General features: G+C 41.0%; 1 pseudogene, besides 1 other annotated feature; it reads right to left on the reverse strand.

Annotated features, from left to right (window-relative positions):
• On the reverse strand, positions 1,525 to 3,451 carry IGKV1OR22-1 (immunoglobulin kappa variable 1/OR22-1 (pseudogene); annotated as a pseudogene).
• Positions 1,750 to 2,949: an enhancer, noted in NCBI's record as "P300/CBP strongly-dependent group 1 enhancer chr22:17413842-17415041 (GRCh37/hg19 assembly coordinates)". NCBI's record gives its function as "activates an origin of replication core promoter dependent on BRD2, BRD4, P300/CBP, MED14 and CDK7 cofactors, with strong dependence on P300/CBP, by STARR-seq in HCT116 cells {active_cell/tissue: HCT116}" and the evidence as "EXISTENCE:reporter gene assay evidence [ECO:0000049][PMID:35650434]".

Genomic DNA, 21,876 nt, shown 5'->3' on the forward strand with positions numbered 1-21,876 from the left:
AAGAGGGAGGAAGGAGGGTCAGATTTGGAGAGGAGATGTGACTATGAAGAAGCTGAGTGATGTGAGGGAAAGGCCATGGCCAAGGAAAGACAGCAGCCTCTAGAAGATGGAAAAGGCAAGAAAACAAACTCTTTCCCACAGGGAAGCTTGATTTTAGCCCAAAGACACCTGTGTGAGATTTCTCTCTTCCAGAATTGTGAAAGAATGATTCTATGCTATTTGAAGCCAGTAATGACATAGTGATTTGTTACAGCTGCTATAGGAAACTCACACAAGGTGAAAGAATGGCATTTGCCTCTCTGAGAAGATGTTTCTCTCTGATCTCTCAGCCTTTTCCAACTTGTTAGCCTTTGGTTTCAATTTGGACAAGAGACAGAGCACAGTTTACTATAAGGAGAGCTAGCACCAGAATTCCACGTAGGGAGAAAATCTCCTGGGTAAACCCCTAGATTGAGTTTTGTACACTGCAGGTGTCTGAGAGCCTAGGGGTCAGATCTCATTACTCCTGAGGAGGGTGGGATTTCCTAGTAGGAGGACAAATTAGATTTGCAGGACACAATCTAATTAGGAAGAAAGAGGGAAGGCTGGAGTCAGAGATGGAAACTAATGGAAGAGAGGAGGAAGGCTCAGGGCAAGGAAAGATGTGACCCTTCCCCCAAGTCTGAAATAAAGCTGTTCAGAGATTTAAAGTCTTTGAGAAAGTTGCATTTTTGCAGAAGAAACTGCAGAAGGGGCTGATTTTAAGTTCCTTTTGCCATATAAGGCTAATTTTATGGTTCCAGAGGGTAGAAGGTGAACATCTTTTCATGGGGGGATAGTAATTTACTCAGACTACCAAACCCCCTAATTGTCTGCCAGCTGCCTTCCTTAAAGAAGAATCCAAAGCCTCACGGCTGGGAGAAGGGAGAACAGGGAGCAGCCAGCAGCTTTATAAAGCAAGAGAGCTGAAGGGATCTGAGTCAGGGCCCTCTGGTCTGGGTGTTTCCTGGGCTGGAAGATTCTTCTCCTGCTGCTCTAATGTGGACCTCATAGTGTGGAGCTATTTGTTAGGGGCTCCTCTGATGTTGTGACCCAGAAGAAAGGAATTGCTATTTAATCAGAATCTATGAGAGACTGATAAAACAAATTAAATGTTTTAGACATTTTCTAAATTTCTCTATCCATTATAAGAGGAGAAGTATCAACAATTTGATGACACCTCCACTAATGAGGATTTGCCTATAGTCTTAGGTTGGGTTTCTAACGACAAGGATTCCCATGTGAGCACCATAATTACAAGCTGCAGGAAACCCTGAGACTGAAGGCAGAAAGTGAGGCAGGGAAGAGATGATGGACAGTGAAAGGCCTGTCAGCCAGCAGCTACCCATGAGGACCACAAGAGCTGAAGCCCACATGGAAACATAAGAGAATGCCTCTGGGCTATTCCACCTGAGAGGTGAGGGAGTTGGGGTATTTATACACGTCACCTGTTCTCACTGATTGAGGGCTGTTCTAGGTGATGCACATTTCAGGCCCTGAGATCTGCCACATGTGCAAGCAGAGCTGCTTCCCCAGCTTCAGAGACAGCAGGGAGGCACAGACATGGCCATGAGGGGTCAGCAGAAGTACAGTGAATGAAAAAGGCTGCGGGAAAAGTCAAAGAGGGCAACGTCCATAAAGAAAAGGTGTGGTTGTTAAATCTGGATCATCTGCATGTGCTAGTTCCCTCTGGAATAAGATGCTGGCTGTTCACTTGTAAGCAAATGCTACAGAATTCAGGCAGGCCCTCCAAGCAGAGCATCAGCAGCCCTGAACCTGGGCTTCCCAGAAATGTCTGAAGACCACACGATTGGCAATTACACCTTCTGTGGAAGATGCACTCTGGATTCTTGAGGAGATCCAAATAATCTTTCTCTTGTAGTATTTGCATCTTTGACTACTATGCCCCCAAGCCTTTTAAAAGCTGTTGTTTAGACTCTCATTCCCTATATTTAGAAAAATAATCCTACTTGGAATTTCAAGAGTGGCTTATTCTTTGAGATATTAATTACAACTGACACCATAACTCAGACTCCTCAGGTGTAATAATCACTTCTTAATGAAATCAGGAGAGACATTGCCATGTCTGTGCTACTGGGGATGAGGAGAAGGAAAGACTGTTAAGGTATACAGGAGACTTCATAGACCCTTCTACCAAAACTTTCCAATGACCTTCAAAGTTTGACTGCAATTTGAGAATTGCTCTCAGCAGATGAGGGCACCAGGAGGAGCAGCAGGGGCAGCCCAGCCTCACACATCTGCTTCCCTGTGTGGTTTATGTTATCACTTGCAACACAGTAGGAGGGTAACTGTAATGCTGTTGATAGTAATAAGTGGCCAAATCATCACGCTGCAGGCTGCAGGCTGCTGATGGTGAGAGTGAAATCTGTCCCAGATTGACTGCTACTGAACCAGGATGGGACCCCCGTCTGCAGTTTTGTTGCAGCATGAATTAGGAGAGTAGGGGCTTTCCCTGGTTTCTGCTGATACCAGACTAATTTATTACTAATGCTGTGACTCACCTGGCAAGTGATAGTGACTCTGTCTCCTACAGATGCAGACAGGGAGGATGGAGACTGGGTCATCTGGATATCACGTCTGGTACCTGAGGTTGGAAACATAAAAACAAACATCTACATAATCAATCATTTATAAGAAGCCCTCCCTGAAGAGCCAGGCTGTACTGAGCACACTGGCTGAGTAAATTCCTAGTGTTCTCCTTCCTTACCTGGCAGCCAGAGCCCCAGGAGCCCCAGGAGCTGAGTGGGGGCCCTCGCGTCCGTGCTGTGTCCTGACTGGGGCTGACTCCTGCACAGGGTGTGACCAGCCTATTAAGAAGTCTTCAGGGCAGGGGGCTGTGCTCTGGGAACATGCTAATCAGCAGGGAGTGGAGCAGGCTGGGCATAGCTGCAGGGCTGGCTCATCTCAGTAACTCAGCATAGGAACAATGTCCCTAGGGTCCCAGGTCAAACCAGGGCAGTACAGATATGTCTGTAAATAACGTGTTTCTTCCTGGGGACCACTTTGTCACAGAGCACATTTTTTGATACTTCTCAAAATTTGAAATACTGCTGAGTACCTGATGAAATAATATATTCCATTGGTGTATTGGGATTATTTAGGAGAATATTCTTCTCTGTAGGAAAATGATAGTAAAGTTTTAGAGGGTGTGATCATCGGGTATTTGATATACTCTGAAAGGGAAGGGGATACATTGTGGTATACTTACAACATTTCTGTGAGTGTGAAATTGTTTCTTCCCTTTAAAAAAATTTATCAAGATAATGCTAAATATATTTCAGTATTTAAATACTTTCAGTATTTTGGAATGACTTTAATTCATTATTATGATTATCACTATCTGTTCAAGCAATTCCCTGCAGATGCACAAAGATGATACCCTCAACCTCAAAGCATGTATTGCTCACAGATCTACCATTATCCAAACCTATGGACCTCTTTAACGCCAGGGATTTTATGGAATGCATCTTATTTTTGGTTTCAGGGCCTCCATATTCTATTCCTGTTTCTGTCATTGGTTATTTCTTCCCAGGATTCATCAGCATGAAGGGCTGAGTAGTGATGCTAGACCTGACTACTTAAAAAATAAAAAAAAAGTCACTTGTTTCTTCCTCCAATTATAGAAGCATGGATTAGGATAAACTTGAAATTATTCAGGGATCAATTGTCTCCAAAAAAAGACTAATGCCATATTCCCTGAGTAATGGTCTGGGCTGCACTGCCCACTAGCATGTTCCTGGGGACTCAGGAGGAGCTCCTCTGGAGCCTGGATTCCTGGAGATCAGGTGACGGGGAGAGCTTGGGAAAGACCAGGACAGTGAGTCTTCCCTCCTAGTGAGGGCAGCTGCTGCTCAGGGCATATCCCTGCCTTGCACTATCAATGCCACTTTCTTTCCTCTTTTACTCTTTAGCAGTGAGGGAAGGTCATCCTAACCCAGGTGCCAGCCTCCTGTCTCACATCTAGGACAGAGAGTCTCCATCTCCTTTCCAGTAAGTACCCATGTATATGGAGAAATCACTTGGATTTGGACAAAACTGAACACAGATTCGCATCCATTATATGTCACATCTTTAACAGGGGCCAAGGCATCTCAGCCTGGTGCAGTCGTAGAGGAAGTGGATTGAACTACATCAGCATCAGTGGGCTTCAGCCTGGGGTTCTGGGGAGTATTACTGATGCCTGACTAGGAGTGGTCAAATCACTTTAGTGGAGACTCTGCATACACCCTCCTGCTGCCTATTCAGGGGCCTGAACTTGGGGGAACGTACTTGTTTTGAGGGAAAAACGGAAACTTCCTACATTTATATATATATATGTATATATGTGTGTGTGTGTGTATATATATATGTGTGTCTGTGTATATATGTGTGTGTGTATGTATGTGTGTATATGTATAAATCTCCTGTTAGTTCTGTCCCTCTAGATGTCACTGGCTAATACAGGAAGTTTATTAAGTATTAACTCACACAATCACAAGGTCTCCCAATAGGATGTCTGCAGGCTGTGGAGCAAGGAGAGCCAGCCAGAGTTCCAAAACTGAAGAACTAGGAGTCCATGTTCGAGGGCAGGAAGCATCCAGCACGGGAGAAAGATGTAGGCTGGGAGGTGAGGCCCATCTCTTTTCACATTTTTCTGCCTGCTTATAGTCTAGCTGTGTTGGCAGCTGACTGGATTGTGCCCACACAGATTAAGGGCGGGTCTGCCTTTCCCAGCCCACTGACTCACATATTAATCTCCTTTGGCAACACCCTCACAAACACACCCAGGACCAATACTTTACCTCCTCAATCCAATCAAGTTGACACTCAGTATTAACCATCACAAGCCCACCCCTTGTCACCTTGAACACATACACATCTCCTGAGATCATACCTAATCTTAAAATAAAGACAATAATGTGGTCGTAATTACACCTAACATAACTATCCTTCCTACAACCGGAAACGCACCAATCGCCAACCCAAATACTATTACATAAAGTGAACAATGCTTAAATGCTGATATGAAGTCAATAACTCTTATGTCACCTGATAAAGAAAAAGGAAATGAAATCAAGATATTTTCTTAGTACAAGTGTATACATGCACAAAGATGTTTTTTAAGAAAAGAAGAAAGAAATACTCATGACAGTTCCAGTCCTCATTTCTGCAGCTGGTCACATGGTCACAGCTGGTATTGATTACTACCTTCTTCCATTATTCATTCTGTATTTCCTTTGCCTTTAGCAAGCACCTCAGCAGGTTGTGACCCCGGAGGGATCTGGACCATTTAGGTCTTACCTGGGTTGGGCTGTTGTAGTTTCCCATTGACCTTAATCAGAGTGCATGATAATCCCAAGAGACGCCCTAATGGATCTCCTGTATTCCACGCATACTCTTCCTCACTTCCATTGTGGAGTAGTGGACTGACTTCATCTTGATAGTCTGGGTCAATCACCGCAGCCAACACTGTAACTCCATTCTTATCCTGTTAACTTAAAGGTAGGAGGAGCCCAAAGTGCCCAGCTGGCCATCTTAACTTCCCATTTAATGGAATCATTATTTTGTCTCTTGGTGGCAGCATTCCTCCCTCTGGAACTAAGATGTCTAGTAAAGCAGGACGTAATGTCGCGGGAACAGAAAGCAAACATTTTGCTAGTGGATCACTAGGGGTGACAGTGAGTGGTTCCACTTTCACTTCCACCCCTTGATTCCTGGACCTGTAAATCCTGGCTATGGGAGAAACAGTACCATACATTGGGCGCTGATTCAGAGCCTACAAGGCCTTCTGGAGTACTTTGCCCCAGCCCTGCACAGTATTGTAATTTAGTTGGCATTGTAATTGTGACTTCAAAAGGCCATTCCACTGTTCTATCAATCCAGCTGTTTCAGGATGATGGGGAACATGGTAAGACCAGTGAATTCCATGAGCATGAGCCCACTGCCCCACTTCTTTACCTGTAAAGTGAGTGCTTGGTCAGAGGCAATACTGTATGGAATACTGTGATGGTGGATAAGGCATTCCGTGAGTCTGTGAATGGTAGTCTTGGCAGAAGCATTGCGTGCAGGTAGGCAAACCCATATCCGGAGTAAGTGTCTATTCCAGTGAGGACAAACCTCTGCCCTTTCCATGATGGAAGAGGTCCGATATAATCAACCTGCCACCAGGTAGCTGGCCGCTCACCACAGGGAATGGTGCCATACAAAGGGCTCAGTGTTGGTCTCTGCTGCTGCTGGCAAATTGGGCACTCAGCAGTGGCCACAGTTCAGCCTTGGTGAGTGGAAGTCCACATTGCTGAATCCATGCATAGCCTCCATCCCTGCCACCATGGCCACTATGTTCATGGGCTCATTGGATGATGACAGGGGTGTCTGGGGAAAGAGGCTGAGTGGTATCCACAGAACGGGTCATCTTATCCACTTGATTATCAAAATCCTCCTCTGCTGAGGTCACCCGTTGGTGAACACTCACATGGGATACAAATATCTTCACAGTTTTTGACGACTCAGAGAGGTCTATCTACATACCTCTTCCCCAAACTTCTTTGTCACCAATTCTCCAATCATGCTTCTTCCAAGTCCCTCACCATCCAGCCAAACCATTGTCTACAGCCAATGAATCACTATATGAAAACACATCTCGTCATTTCTCCTTCCATGCAAAGTGCACAGCCAGGTGCACTGCTCAGTGTTCTGCCCACTGGGAAGATTTCCCTTCACCACTGTCCTTCAGAGATGTCCTGGAAAGGGGCTGTAGTGCTGCAGCTGACCGCTTTTGGTGGTGCCTGAATATCATGCAGAACCATCTGTGAACCAGGCCCTAGTCTTCTCTTCCTCCCTCAACTGATCATAGGGAGCTCCCCATGAGGCCATCGGTGCAGGCTGTGGGAGAGAAGGAAGGGTGGCAGGAGTAGAGACCATCAGCATTTCAGCTACTTCCTCACGTAACTTACTTGTGCCCTCAGGACTTACTCAAGCCGAGTCACATATATACCGCTTCCATTTGATGACGGAATACTGCTATGCATGACCCACTCTATGGCTAGATGGGTCAGAAAGCACCCACTTCATGATGGGCAGTTCAGGTCGCATGGTGACTTGTTGACCCATAGTCAAATGATCAGTTTCCATCAAAGCCCAGTAACAGGCCAAGAGCTGTCTCTCAAAAGGAGAGCAGTTATCTGCAGAAGATGGCAGGGTCTTGCTCCAAAATCCTAGAGGCCCCCATGGTGATTCACATATGGGGGTCTGCCAAAGGCTCAGAACAGCATTTCTATCTGCCACGGACACCTCAAGCACCATTGGATCTGGTGGGTCATATGTCCCAAGTAGCAGAGTGGCTTGCACAGCAGCCTGGACCTATTGCAGAGCCTTCTCTTTTTCTGAACCCCAGTGAATATGGGCAACCTTTTGCGTCGCTGAATAAATGGGCGGGAGTAACACTCAAATGAGGAATGTGTTGCCTCCAAAATCTAAACAGGCCCACTAGGTGTTGTGCCTCTTTCTTGGTTGTAGGAGGAGCCAAATGTAGCAGCTTGTTCTTCACCTTAGAAGGAATATCTCAACAGACCCCACACCACTGTACTCCTAGCAAGTTTACTGAGGTAGAAGATCCCTAAATTTTAGTCAGATTTATTTCCCATCCTCTGGCACACAAATGTCTCACCAGTAAGTCTAGTGTGTTTGCTATTTCTTGCTCACAGGATCCAACCAGCATAATGTCATTAATGTAATGGACCAGTGTGATATCTTGTGGAAGCAAAAAGCGATCAAGTTCTCTTCAAATAACATTATGACACAAAGCCAGAGAATTGACACACCCATGAGGTAGGTCAGTAAAGGCATATTGCTGGCCTTTCCTGCTGGAGACAACTTGCTTCTGGTGGCCCTTATGGACAGGAATGGAGAAAAAGGCATTTGCCAAGTCAATGGCTGCATACCAGGTACAAAGAGATGTGTTAATTTCCTCAAGCAATGAAACCACACCTGGTACATCAACTGCAATTTGAGTTACCACTTATGTAAGCTTACAATAATCTGCAGTCATTCTCCATGATCCATGTGCCTTCTGCACAGTCCAAACAGGAGAGTTGAATGGGGATGTGGTGGGAATCCCCATCCCTGAATCTTTCAAGTCCTTGATGGTGGCACTAATCTCCGCAGTCCCTCAAGGGGTGTATTATTGTTTTTGATTTACTATCTTTCTAGGTAGAGGCAGCTCTAATGGCTCCCATTTGGCCTTTCCCACCATAAGAGCACTCACTCTACCAGTTAGGAAGCCAATGTGGGGGTTCTGCCAGCTGCTAAGTATGTCTATGCCAAATATGCATTCTCGAACTGGGGAAATGACCACAGGATGAGTCCAGAGACCCACTGCACCCACTATGTTGGACCTCAGCTAAAACTCCATTAATTACCTGACCTCCATAAGCCCCTACTTTAGCTGGAGGACTGCAATGACGTTGTGCGTGGAATCAACGTCAGCTCAGAGCCAGTGTCCAGGAGTCCCTGAAATATCTTATCATTTCCCTTTCCCCAATGCACAGTTACCCTGGTAAAAGGCCAGAAGTCTCTCTGGGGAAGGATGGGAGAAAGATTAACTTCATAAATGGTCAGTAATGTAGTGGGTTCCTTCCTCAAGGAGACCCGGCCTCCCCTTCATTCAAGGTGTTCTGGGTCTGTAAAACTTGGTGTTCCAAGTCTGGAAATTGATGGAGGGGCCATGAATCTCTGTTTTTATAATTCCAATTAGTCTTTTGTCTGTTTGACCTAGAAATCTTCTCCTTATATAAATTAAGTAGGACTGCATTAGACTTCCTATCAATTTCACTTCTAGGAACACAATGATTAATTAGCCAATGCCAGAGCTCTACATGAGTCAGACTATTCTGATTGCTGCTTTATCTCTCCTGTCCATTACTGTAGCTATGTTCACCATGCCTTTGAGGGTTGAGTGCCACCACTTGGCCCCTGCCACCTCAGGGTCCAATTATTCCCAATTGTATTTAAATTTTGTAATTGAGTGACTGCAGTTCTCTCCATTAGATTTGACATACAGAGAAGAGCCATTATAGGGCTCTTCAAAGATGCAGGTGCTTCCTCACAAATCTATTTTGCAAAGTGTTTGTCAAGGGTATTAAGTATAGAGTCACTAAACTCCTTGCCTGTCATCAGTGATGATTCAGGAGTGTCAAATGTATTTATTTTGCGTAACTCTCTAAACCGTTCATGTCAAGGACTATCAGTGTTCTCTATACTATTAGAAGTTCAATCCTTAGCATTTTGGGGTCTAATCATATTACACAGCCAACTCCAGAAACCCCACAACCAATGAAACTCCAGAAACACCAAAACTAATGAAAGAACTCCTTTCTTAATATTCTATTCCTATAGAACCACTCCTGGTACCAAAATCTGTATTACTGAGGATTCTCTAGAGGGAGAGAATAGGATGCGTGTGTGTGTGTGTGTGTGTGTGTGTGTGTGTGTGTGTGCATATATTTATATATTATATATATGACATACATATGTAAGTTAATATGTAATATAACCAATACATAATAAATTCATATGATATATGTGAGTCTACATATAACTCATATTATATATATGGATTTATATAGAACTCACATATATGAGTTTATTACTTATTACTTTACAGGATCACAAGGCCCCACAATAGGCTGTCTGCAGGCTTGAGGAACAAGGAGAGACAGTTTGAGTCTCCAAATTGAAGAACTTGGAGTCCAATGTTCGAGGGCAGGAAGCATCCAGCACAGGAGAAAGATGTAGAAAAGCTAGCCAGCCTCACTTTTTCATCTTTTTCTGCCTCCTTTATATTCACTGTCAGCTGAATAGATGATGCCCATCAGATTAATCGGGGGGTCTGCCTTCCCCAGCCTACTGACTCAAATAATAATCTCCTTTGGCAACACCCTCACAGACACAGCCAGGAACAATACTTAACATCCTTCGATCTAATCAAGTTGACACTGTACTAACTATCACAGGATTACAGGCCTGAGCCATCATATACAGCTTTGTTGTATATTTCATACAATTTCCTGATTTTCCCATTTTATCTATGACTTAATAAAGTTTTCTTGCTATGACCCCAAACATGCTGGTAATAGTTGAAAGCACATTCAAACATATTCTGGGATAAATCGTAACTGGCAAAATTTTGAGCCTTGTGGAAAAAATCACCTTACTTGCCTGTGAGCTGTCAATTCCCCATCATTACTATCACTTCTAGGAGCACATTTTCCAAAACCCCTTTTCTCTCTATGGTTTCTTTAGTGTTGTTCAACGAGAGGCGCTCCCATGAGATTGGGAAGTCAGAGTGGTGGATTCATGTACACTGACACCTGAAGTAAAACACGTGGAGTTACCGATCCCACAGAAATACAAACTATCATCAGAGAATAATATAAACACTTCTACGCAAATAAACTGGAAAATCTAGAAGAAATGGATAAATTCCTAGACACATACACCCTCCCAAGACTAAACCAGGAAGAAGCTGAATCTCTGAATAGGCCAATAACAGGTTCTGAAATTGAGGCAATTATTAATTGCATACCAACCAAAAAAAAGTCCAGGACCAGATGGATTCACAGCCAAATTCTACCAGAGGTACAAAGAGGAGCTGGTACCATTCCTTCTGAAACTATTCCGGGTCAACAGAAAAAGAAGGAATCCTCCCTAACTCATTTGATGAGGCCAGCATCATCCTGAAACCAAAGCCTAGCAGAGACATAACAAAAAAGAGAATTTTTGGCCAATATCTCTGATGAACATCAATGTAAAAATCCTCAATAAAATACTGACAAATCGAATCCAGCAGCACATCAAAAAGCTTATCCACCATGATCAAGTCAGCTTCATCCCTGGGATGCAAGGCTGGTTCAACATACACAAATCTATAAACATAATAAATCACATAAACAAAACCAATGACAAAAAACACATGATTATCTCAATAGACGCAGAAAAGGCCTTTGACAAAATTCAACAGCCTTTCATGCTAAAAACTCTCAATAAACTAGGTATCAATGGAACGTATCTCAACATAATAAGAGCTATTTATGACAAACCCACAGCCAATATCATACTGAATGTGCAAAAACTGGAAGCATTCCCTTTGAAAACTGACACGAGACAGGGATGCCCTCTCTCACCACTCCTATTCAACATAGTATTGGAAGTTCTGGCCAGGGCAGTCAGCCAAAAGAAAGAAATAAGGGGTATTCAAATAGGAAGAGAGGAAGTCAAATTGTCTCTGTTTGCAGATGATGTGATTGTATATTTAGAAAATCCCATAGTCTCAGCCCAAAATCTCCCTCAGCTGATAAGCAACTTCAGCAAAGTCTCAGGATACAAAATCAATGTGCAAAAATCACAAGCATTCCTATACACAATAATAGACAAACAGAGAACCAAATCATGAGTGAACTCCCATTCACAACTGCTACCAAGAGAATAAAATACCTAGGAATCCAACCTACAAGGGATGTGAAGGACCTCTTCAAGGAGAACTACAAACCACTGCTCAAGGAAATAAGAGAAGACACAAACAAACAGAAAAACATTCCATGCTTATGGACAGGAAGAATCAATACCGTGAAAATGGCCATATCGCACAAAGTAATTTATAGATTCAATGCAATCCCCATCAAGCCACCATTGACTTTCTTCACATAATTAGAAAAAAACTACTTTAAATTTCATATGGAACCAAAAAAGAGCCTGCATAGTCAAGAAAATCCTAAGCAAAAATAAACAAAGGTGGAAGCATCACGCTACCTGTCTTTAAACTATACTAAAAGGCAACAGTAGCCAAAACAAGATGGTACTGGTAGCAAAACAGATATATTGACAAATGGAACAGAACAGAGGCCTCAGAAATAACACCACACATCTACAACCATCTGATCATTGACAAACCTGACAAAAACAAACAATGGGGAAAGGATTCCCTAATTAATAAATGGTGTTGGGAAAACTAGCTAGCCATATGCAGAAAACTGGAACAGGACGTCTTCCTTACATGTTATACAAATTAAAGACTTAAATGTAAGACCTAAAACCATAAAAACCTGAGAAGAAAACCAAGGCAATACCATTCAGGACATAGGCATGGGCAAAGACTTTATGACTAAAACACCAAAAGCAATGGCAACAAAAGCCAAAATGGAAAAATGGGATCTAATTAAACTAAAGAGCTTCTGCACAGCAAGAGAAACTATCGTCAGAGTGAACAGGCAACCTACAGAATGGGAGAAAATTTCTGCAATCTATCCATCTGACACAGAGCTAATATGCAGAATCTACAAAGAACTTAAACAAATTTACAAGAAAAAAAACAAACAACCCCATCAAAAATAGGAGAAGGATATGAACAGACACTTCTCAAAAGAAAACATTTATGCAGCCAACAAACACATGAAAAAATGCTTATCATCACTTGTCATTAGAGAAATGCAATCAAAACCACAATGAGATACCATCTCATGCCAGTTAGAATGGCAATCATTAAAAAGTCAGGAAACAACAGATACTGGAGAGGATGTGGAGAAATAGGAACTCTTTTACACTGTTGGTGAGAGTGTAAATTAGTTCAACCATTGTGGAAGACAGAGTGGAGATTCCTCAAGGATCTACAACCAGAAATACCATTTGACCCAGCCATCCCATTACTGGGTATAAACCCAAAGGATTATAAATTATTCTACTTAAAGACACATGCACACGTATGTTTATAATGGCACTGTTCACAATAGCAAAGACTTGGAACCAATCCAAATGCCCATCAATGATAGACTGGATAAAGAAAATGTGGCACATATACACCATGGAATATGATGCAGTCATAAAAAGGTTGAGTTCATGTCCTTTGCAGGGACATGGATGAAGCTGGAAATCATCATTCTCAGCAAACTAACTCTAGAACAGAAAACCAAAACCGCAGGTTTTCACTCATAAGTGGGAGTTGAACAATGAGAACACATGGACACAGGTGACAGGAAGCAGCAGAAAGGCCCTGGGAGCTCGCTGGGTCCCCAGGCAGCCCATTCCTGCCTGGTACTACACACCAGGGCAGGTTTTCTCATTTGAAAACAAGATAAGCTAAAATGTATATTTTAAATGTATAACCAATAATTTGGCAAAGTAAAATTATAAATGCTGATTTTTACATGAATACTGAAACTTAATGTTGTGTTAATATACCTTCTCTTTAATTTTTCAATACTTTTCAGCTGCCTTCATATACAGTAATCATTAAACATTAAAGTGTATATATAATTGCCAGATTTTTCCCTTTCACCTTGGGATGTGTCTCAGCCAGGCACATCCAGTGTCCCCAAATATTTAAAGGTCCTGATATACAGTATTTTCATTTTACAGCTGTGTGTCCCCTTTGCCTGGGTCTGCTCCAGGACTGCTCCTCAGAAATAATCTTGAATCTGCAACAACCACCACAGCTAGCATTTCCAGCCTGCAATACTGGAAGTGCAGTCCTTTGATAAACTGAGTCTTGCTCAGATATTACCTGATGGGGAAAAATTAAGCCCTATGGGAATAGTCCAGAGAATGTAGGATTCTTCTCATGTGGGAAGCCTTGCTGTGGAGGCCCTCCTCAGCAGAACCGGATGGGAACTTTGCCTGGATCCTCACTTTTGCTGTATTTTCCTTCCTCTGAACAGGTGCTTCCCCAGGAATGGAACACACGCGCACACCGCAGGGCCCACGTGCCCCCTGCTTGCTGCTAAGAGCAGTGTAATTTCATTGTTTAACAGAGACCCTGATCCTGAATCACAGTCACTCACTCAACTGTCAGATTATTCAATCATATAATTTTCAAAGTTCAAGTAGAAATGGAGCACAGTATTCTGGGAGTTGATGACAGTGGATGATTATAACAAGAATGAAAGTACCATGTCAAGATACAAAAGTCAATTAATTTCTTTTGTAGTGGAAATAAAATTTAAAATAAAGGAAAGTAGCCATCAGATGGAAAAATAATTAACACAGATGCAGTTTCCACCTTACACAATTTATGAAAAATATTCCACAGATGTAAACTGCAAAACTATAACAATTCTAAAAACAATCAAAGGAGAAATCTATATAACCTTGAATTTGAGGATGAGATTTCATATGCAACATTGAAAGAATGAATCTTCAGAGAAAAAAAAATATGGTGGACTTTGTCAGAATTAAAAAATTCTACTCTGTGAAAGACACTGCTGAGAGAAGGAAAAGACAAGCCCCAGACCATAAGAAAATACTTTCCAGACACATATCTAAGAAATGACTTGTATGAAAAGGACCTGTAAAATCAATAATAAGAAAACAAACTTAAAAATATATATAAATATATAAACAGACACCTCACTAATTAAGGTACATATATAATATAGGCATAAAAAGGTGCTCAATATTACTTAACATTAGAGAAAAGGAAATTAAAACAAAAATGAGAAACGATTACTTGCACAGCAATCCCAATTGCTGATCATGTTTGAAACAGCAGGAATTCTCATTCATTGCTGTTGTTCATGCATAGTGGCACGGCAACTTTGGAGGACATTTTGGCAGTTTCTTATAAAGCTAAACACAGTCTCAAAGCAAGAGTCACCAAATATGCTCATAAATATTTACTTGTGTTTTGAAAACTAATATCAAGATAAAAGCCAGCACAAAAATATATATTGCACCTTTACTTATAATGGCCAGATAGTTGAATGAAACAAGATCATTAAGCTTGAATGATCCTGCAATAAATTGAAGTATACCTAAATGTAGTATATCCATGTAATAGAATATTATTCAGTGATAAGAATGAAAAAGGTATCAAGACATACAAAGCCATGAATGAATTGCAAATTCATATGGCTAAGTTAAAGAAGTCAGTCTAGAGAGCGTTTAATCTCATTTAAATGGCATTCTGAAGAGACAAAGCTATAAATTTGGTAAAGAGATCAGTTCAGTTTACCAGGGTTGTCAGGGGATGCTAGGGGTAGAGAGGAATGCACAAGCGAATAATTCTGTATACTTTAAGGGTGGATACTTGTCACTCTGCATTTGACAAAATCCACAGATTTTTACAGCATAGAGTAAATCATAAACCATACAAATTAAAACATTAATAATCTAGGAGATAGGTGGATCCTAGAATGGAATGCAAATATGACTAAAGAATCTGTCTTGCAAATACAAAAAACAAACTCATTGTGGTGGGGCAGAATCATGTCATCATCCAGTAACTCTGGAAATTAGTGGAATTTACAAGATTAAAGGCAAAAGGAAGAGTGAATAAGAAGATTCCACTTGATAAAAAAAAATTTTCCAGTGGGGTACTGGTTAACAACTGTGAAACCCTTGAGATCATAGACTGGGATTGAACAAATAAATAGTTGTCAGATGGCAGGAGCGATTTCTCACTACTGCAATGGGAAGTGACAGGGAAGTCAGGGGAGGATAAAAGGGCCTGTGTGATAATGCATTCAAGTTTGAAAGCAGTAGTTTGTACTCATGTTTAGCCTAATATAAAAAGGGATGTCTCCGTATAGAAATATGTATAGACTTAAATATTTATAAATTTATGTTGGTATACTAAACTTAACCTGTGTATATGCAGGCTAAATCTAGTATACCAACATATATTTATTTATACTATCATTGAGAGGGCCAGGAAGAAGGACACCTCAGCAGCAACAAACACACTTGGCTTCTGAATCTAGGTTTTCGAGGCCTTTCTCCAATAAAAGCAAGCACTGCTCCTTGGAAAAACAGCTAATTCTAGGTTTGGGCTAGAAAATGTGCACAAGGAGACTGGAGAGTCTTGTACTATTGAAAAGTAAAGAAGTGTAACATCAACAACTAAAACATGCATGCACACTATTTTTTGAATTACTTTCATGTTGCATGAAAAATTAACCATTACTAACGAATAAGATGTGTATATAGTTGCAAACATTTCCTGTCCACCCAAGGATTTGACTTGGTTCTACCAGGCACTGGCCTATTTCCATCTCATTTGACTGGAAAATCAATATTAACACAGTTAACTACACATCTTTTAAGTAACATTCTTAGGCTGAGTGTGGTGGTTCACACCTGTAATCCCAGCACTTTGGGAGGCCAAGAGGGAAGGAGTATTTGAGGCCAGGAGTTCAAGACCAGCCTGGAAAACATAGCTTTAAAAATTAATTAGCTGGGCATAGTGGTGTGTCCCTGTAGTCCCTGCTACTCAGGAGGCTGAGGTGGGAAGACTGCTAAAGCCCAGGCATACAAGACTGTAGTGAGTGAGCTATGGTCATATTGCTTTACTCTAGCCTTGGCCACAGAGCAAGACTGTTTTAAAAAATAAATAATTTTAGATTCAGTTTTTGTTTGTTTTTTTATTATACTTTAAGTTTTAGGGTACATGTGCACAATGTGCAAGTTAGTTACATATGTATACATGTGCCATGTTGGTGTGCGGAGGGATAGCATTTGGAGATATACCTAATGTTAGATTCAGTTTTAAACCTGTATCTACAAACCCTTCACTATATGTATTACATCCACTCATTGAAACAACTAAGCCTTTACAAGTATCCCTTTAACCTGCTTTGTTGGTTCTCAAGTGGTAAACACCTAAAATCAGTGAATTAACACAGTAATGATACAACTTTTCAGTAACATTTGTCGAAGTCAGAATAAAAGATGAATCTCTAAATTTAATGTTTTATTTTTGGAAGCAACAATTGCAATTCAGGGCATACAAACAAGCCAGGTGGTCTTTGGTATATCTGAAGAACAAAGAGAAGTTTGGGGGCTTTATTTTAAAAAGAAACATTATGTATTGTTTTGAAAGAAGGCTCATTGGCACTACAGAAGCTTTTGGGAGCTGCAAAGCTCTGATTGGTGAGTGATGGTGGCAGGTAAAACTAGTCTTGGTGTCAAAGCAGGAAGTTTTGTCAGTCACTAGATAAAACTAGTCTTAGGCTGACAGCAGGCCATTTCAGCAGCTGGATTGTGGAAAATAAAATTCTTGGAGCAAGTGCTATGTTCCCTTAGTGCTTTTACCCCCTAGTCCCTAGAGTCTGATTTAGTTGAGTATGACAAGAATTACACAATTCATAAACTGTCACACATTCTTTGATTCTATTTTTAAACACCTATCTAAAAACACTTCACTGCACACATTATATACATGTGTTGAAATAACTTGATAAAGCTAAGCCTTTAACCTTAATGGTAAGTCATATGTTTAAAGAAGTATATGTAAACACTTGATTGTTTAGTTTACAGTTAGGTAATCATATAATCATTAAATAGGCACTGTTAAATCATTTTTAAGCAATATTATTATAATCATCTTTTATGTATGTATGTATGTACGTATGTATGTATGCACAAACACTTCACCATACATTACAATGCTCTAAAATACCACACTTCAACACATTCAAGCTTTAAGTCCATATGGCACCCAAAATGTTTAAAGCAGTATTTTCAAACACTTCTTTACCTAGTTTACAGTTTGGTACACACTTAAGTCCACTCACATACCCTACCACCCCATTCCAGAAAAAAAGAGCATCAGTTCTGATTTACTGTTCTGGAATTCAGTTTTCTCTTCCTTTTTGGCCCCTGGTGATTCTCCCTTACTGTCTTGCAAGTTTAGCTACATACTAAAAATGAGTTTATAAAGCAAAAATTGCCAAATACACTAAGGGCCAATTCACCATGAATTGGCAGATGCAACAAACAAACAGAACATCTGGTATTTACTTGGAACTTCTCAGCTTTTCAAACTTAACATGAGACAGAGTTGTTTAATAGTCAGAGCTACTTAAAATGGAATAGGCTGCCTAGATACCTCCTGAGCTCCCTGTCACCACAGGTGGGTGAACAGAGGAGACAGGACTTCCATTTGTTGGAAATGTAACCCAAGGGTTTGGCACCAAAAAGGAGGAAAATAAAGAGCTCTGAGCTTCTGAGACTGTTACTGTTTGTTTCCTGGTAGACTGTGAGTTTCTGGTGGGCAGGGACCACATTGTTTTGAGCTCTTTGTCCTCTGTGCCCAGTATATGTCTGCAGTGAATGAGGGAATTCGCTGTAAGAGCACTGTAAGGGAATTAATGTAAGAGCATTAATGTAGTGTGGAGAATGCTATAATGTAAGTATGAACAAAGAGGAGGGAGCATGGCCCTGTACTGGGCAGAGGGAAACCCAAGATGAATGAGACACAGGCTTTGCACTCTGGGCACAGAAGGTCTGATCTAGGAGATAAGATAATCTGCAAATACCTATTACTAGCAGAAGCAGGCAGTTAAGCTTTATAATACAGGTACAGATAGCTTAGGGAGCCAACTTGAGAAGATTCTGGAAACCATCATAGAGAGGAGATCTAGGAGTTAGGCCTTGACAGATAGGAACTGGCAAGAGGAGGTCGCTCCAGATGAGTCAGAGGAAAAGGCACAGAAGTGGGAACATCCAATTTCAGTTTGGCAGTAGTGTGTTGGCAGAGCGTAGGGAAGATCAAAAAGATCAGCAGAGTGCAGTGCTTTGAAACTAGGCTGAGTCATTCTGCATCCAGCAGATCTGGGCATCTCCACGTTTCCACCAAACTACTTGATGTCAGAGAAGGGGACTTACCCAAAGCAGCCTGACATGAGCTCAGAGTCCCTCTACAACCTCATTGTACCTCAGAGACTCAGCTAAGCAAGGAGGTGAAAGATTACTTTATGGAGAATTACAAAACACTGCTGAAAGAAATCAGAAATGACACAAATAAATGGAAAAACATCACATGCTTATAGATTGGAAGAAACAACATCACTGAAATGACGATACTTCCCAAAGGAATTTACAGATTCAATGTTATTCCCATCAAACTACCAACATCATTTTTCACAGAATTAGAAAAATTATTCTAAAATCCATTTGGAACAACAACAACAAAAAAAAACCCTGAATAGTCAAAGTAAGCCTAAGCAAAAAAAAAAAAAAGAATACAAAACAGAACAGAAAGCAAAACAAAACAGTGGGAGGCATCACACTACCCAACTTCAAACTATGCTACAGGGACACAGTAACCTAATACTGACTGGTACAAAAATGGACACATAGACCAATGGAACAAAATATAAAAGCCAGAAATAAAGCTGCATACCTACAACCACCTGATCTTCAACAAAGTCAACAAAAATAAGCAATGGGGAAAGGACTCTCTACGTAATAAATGGTCCTGAGTAACTGGCTATGCATACGCAGAAGAATAAAACTGGACCCCTACTGTATTAGTCAGCATTCTCTACAGGGACAGGACTAGTAGGATAGATGTACATATGAAACGGAGTTTATTAAGGATTATTAAGTCACACAATAATGAGGTGAAGATCCACAATAAGTCATCTGCAAGCTGAGAAGCAAAAATGCCAGCCCTAGTCCCCAAACCTAAAAAGTAGGGAAGCTGATGGGGCAGCCTTCAGTCTGTGGCTGAAGGCCCGAGAGCCCCTGGCAAACAACTGGTGTAAGTCCAAGAGTCCTAAAGCTGGAGAACTTGGAGTCCAGTGTTCAAGGACAGGAAGCAGCCAGCATGGGAGACAGATGAAGGCCAGAAGACTCAGCCAGTCTAGTCCTTCCATGTTCCTCCGCCTGCTTTTATCCTAGCTGCACTGGCAGCTGATTAGATGGTGCCCACCCAGATTGAGGGTGGGCCTGCCTCTTTCAGTCCACCGACTCAAATGTTAATCTTTTTTGGCAACACTCTCACAGACACACTGAGGAACAATACTTTGCATCCTTCGATCCAGTCAAGTTGACACTCATTATTAAACATCACACCTACCTATCACCACATACAAAAATTAATTCAAGATGTATTAAAGACTTAAGTGAAAGATTGCAAACTAATCAAAATCCTATAAGAAAACCTAGGAAATATCCTTCTAAATATAAGCCTGGGCAAATAATCTGTGGCTATGTCCTCAAAAGCAATTGCTACAAAAACAAAAATTAACAAGTGAGACCTAATTAACTAAAGAGCTTCTCCACAGCAAAGGAAACTATCAAGGAAGTAAACAGACAACCTACATAATGGAAGAAAGTATTTGCAAACCATGCATTCAACAAAAGTCAAGTATCCAGAATCTATAAGTAATTTAAACAATTGAACAAGCAAAAAGCAAATAACCCCATTAAAAAGAAGGCAAAGGACATAAACAGCCACTTCTCAAAAAAAGACATACAAGAATATTTATGAAAAAAATGCTTATCATCACTAATTATCAGGGAAATGCAAATCAAAACCATAATGAGATGTCATCTCATACCAGTCAGAATGGCTATTACTAAAAAGTCAAAAAATAACACATTGATGAGGCTGTTGAAAAAGGAGTGGGTATACACTGTTGATGGGAATTTAAGTCAGTTCAACCACTGTGGAGAGCAGTGTGGAAATTTCTCAGAGAACTTAAAACAGTACTACCATTCAATGGTAGTTTTTTTTCACAAAAGCAAAGACATGGAATGAACCCAGGTGCCCATCAATTATGGGTAGAATAAATAAAACGTGGCACATATACACTATGAAGTACTACACACCTATAAAAAAAGAATGAAATTAAGCCCTTTGCTGCCATGTGGATGCAGCTGGAAACCATCATCCTAAACAAACAGATGCAGAAACAGAAAATCAAATATCACATGTTCTCACTTATAAGTGGGAGCTAAACATTGGGTATGCATGGTAATAAAAATGGGAGCAATAGACTTTTGGGAATACAAGAGCGAGGAGAGAGGGAGGGGTGTAAGGGTTGATAAAAACTACCTACGGGTTTCTAGGCTCACTACCTGGGTGATGGATTCACTCATGCTCCGAACCTCAGCACCATACAATATACCCATGTAACAAACCTACACATATATCTTGATTGTAAATTAAAGTTGGACAAAAAGACTCAGGCATGTAGTTCATAAACACTTGTTTTAACATAAATGCATATTTTTCTTTGTTGAATATTAGAGAATATAGCTCCAGGAAAAAGTGCTACATTTTTCCTGTGGCTTTGGATACCACTTGCCAACAAGCCAGTTTGAGAGTCAAGACAGAAAAGTATAGGATTTTATTGTTTATGAAATTCTTCCACATGTTCTATAAGCACATTATGGTTTGGATTTATGTTCCCTTGCACACAAGCTCTGGAAAGTGCTTGTACCAAGGCACATGCATCAGGCTACGCCAGTTTCTCTGGGAGCAGCAGACCTTGCTCAGGGAGCCATCGTATGTAAATTTCCAGAAGCATTAGGAGCTTAAGAGTAATTTGGGGAATTGTTATTTTCCTAAGAGTATGAAGTTCCATTCTTTGGGAAAAAATGGCATTCTATGTTCTTTTTTCTGTTGTGAATATTTTTCCATCTCTCTCTCTCTCCCTCTCTCTATGTGTGTGTATGTGTGTGTGCATGGTAGGTTCTGTCCATCTGTCTGCCTTTTTGCCCCTATTTGTTTATTGTGTGTGGGGCAAGGAAGACTTGGATAGGGCAGAATTGCAAGAAAAAAGAGGGACTAAGAGAGAAGATGCTGTTATCTCCCCTCTGGCAGCTCTTTTGATTTTTTTTAATCATCTGTGGGAGGTGATTGGCTAATCTGATATATTATCTAATAAATGCTCCTGGGAAATGAGTGAGTTAAACCACTGCTCAAGCAACGTCTTCTGTGGTAGTCAGAGGACATGCACTGGGGAGATGAGGGTATTGGGTGCTAAGCCAGCTCGAAGCTCTGTGGAACCTTGTACAAATCTAGGGCACTGTACTCAGGATCTAGGGACAAGAACAGGGCTAGAGTAACTGTCATAAATGCTG

This window comes from Homo sapiens, chromosome 22 (genome assembly GCF_000001405.40).
Source record: "Homo sapiens chromosome 22, GRCh38.p14 Primary Assembly".
NCBI lineage: Eukaryota > Metazoa > Chordata > Mammalia > Primates > Hominidae > Homo > Homo sapiens.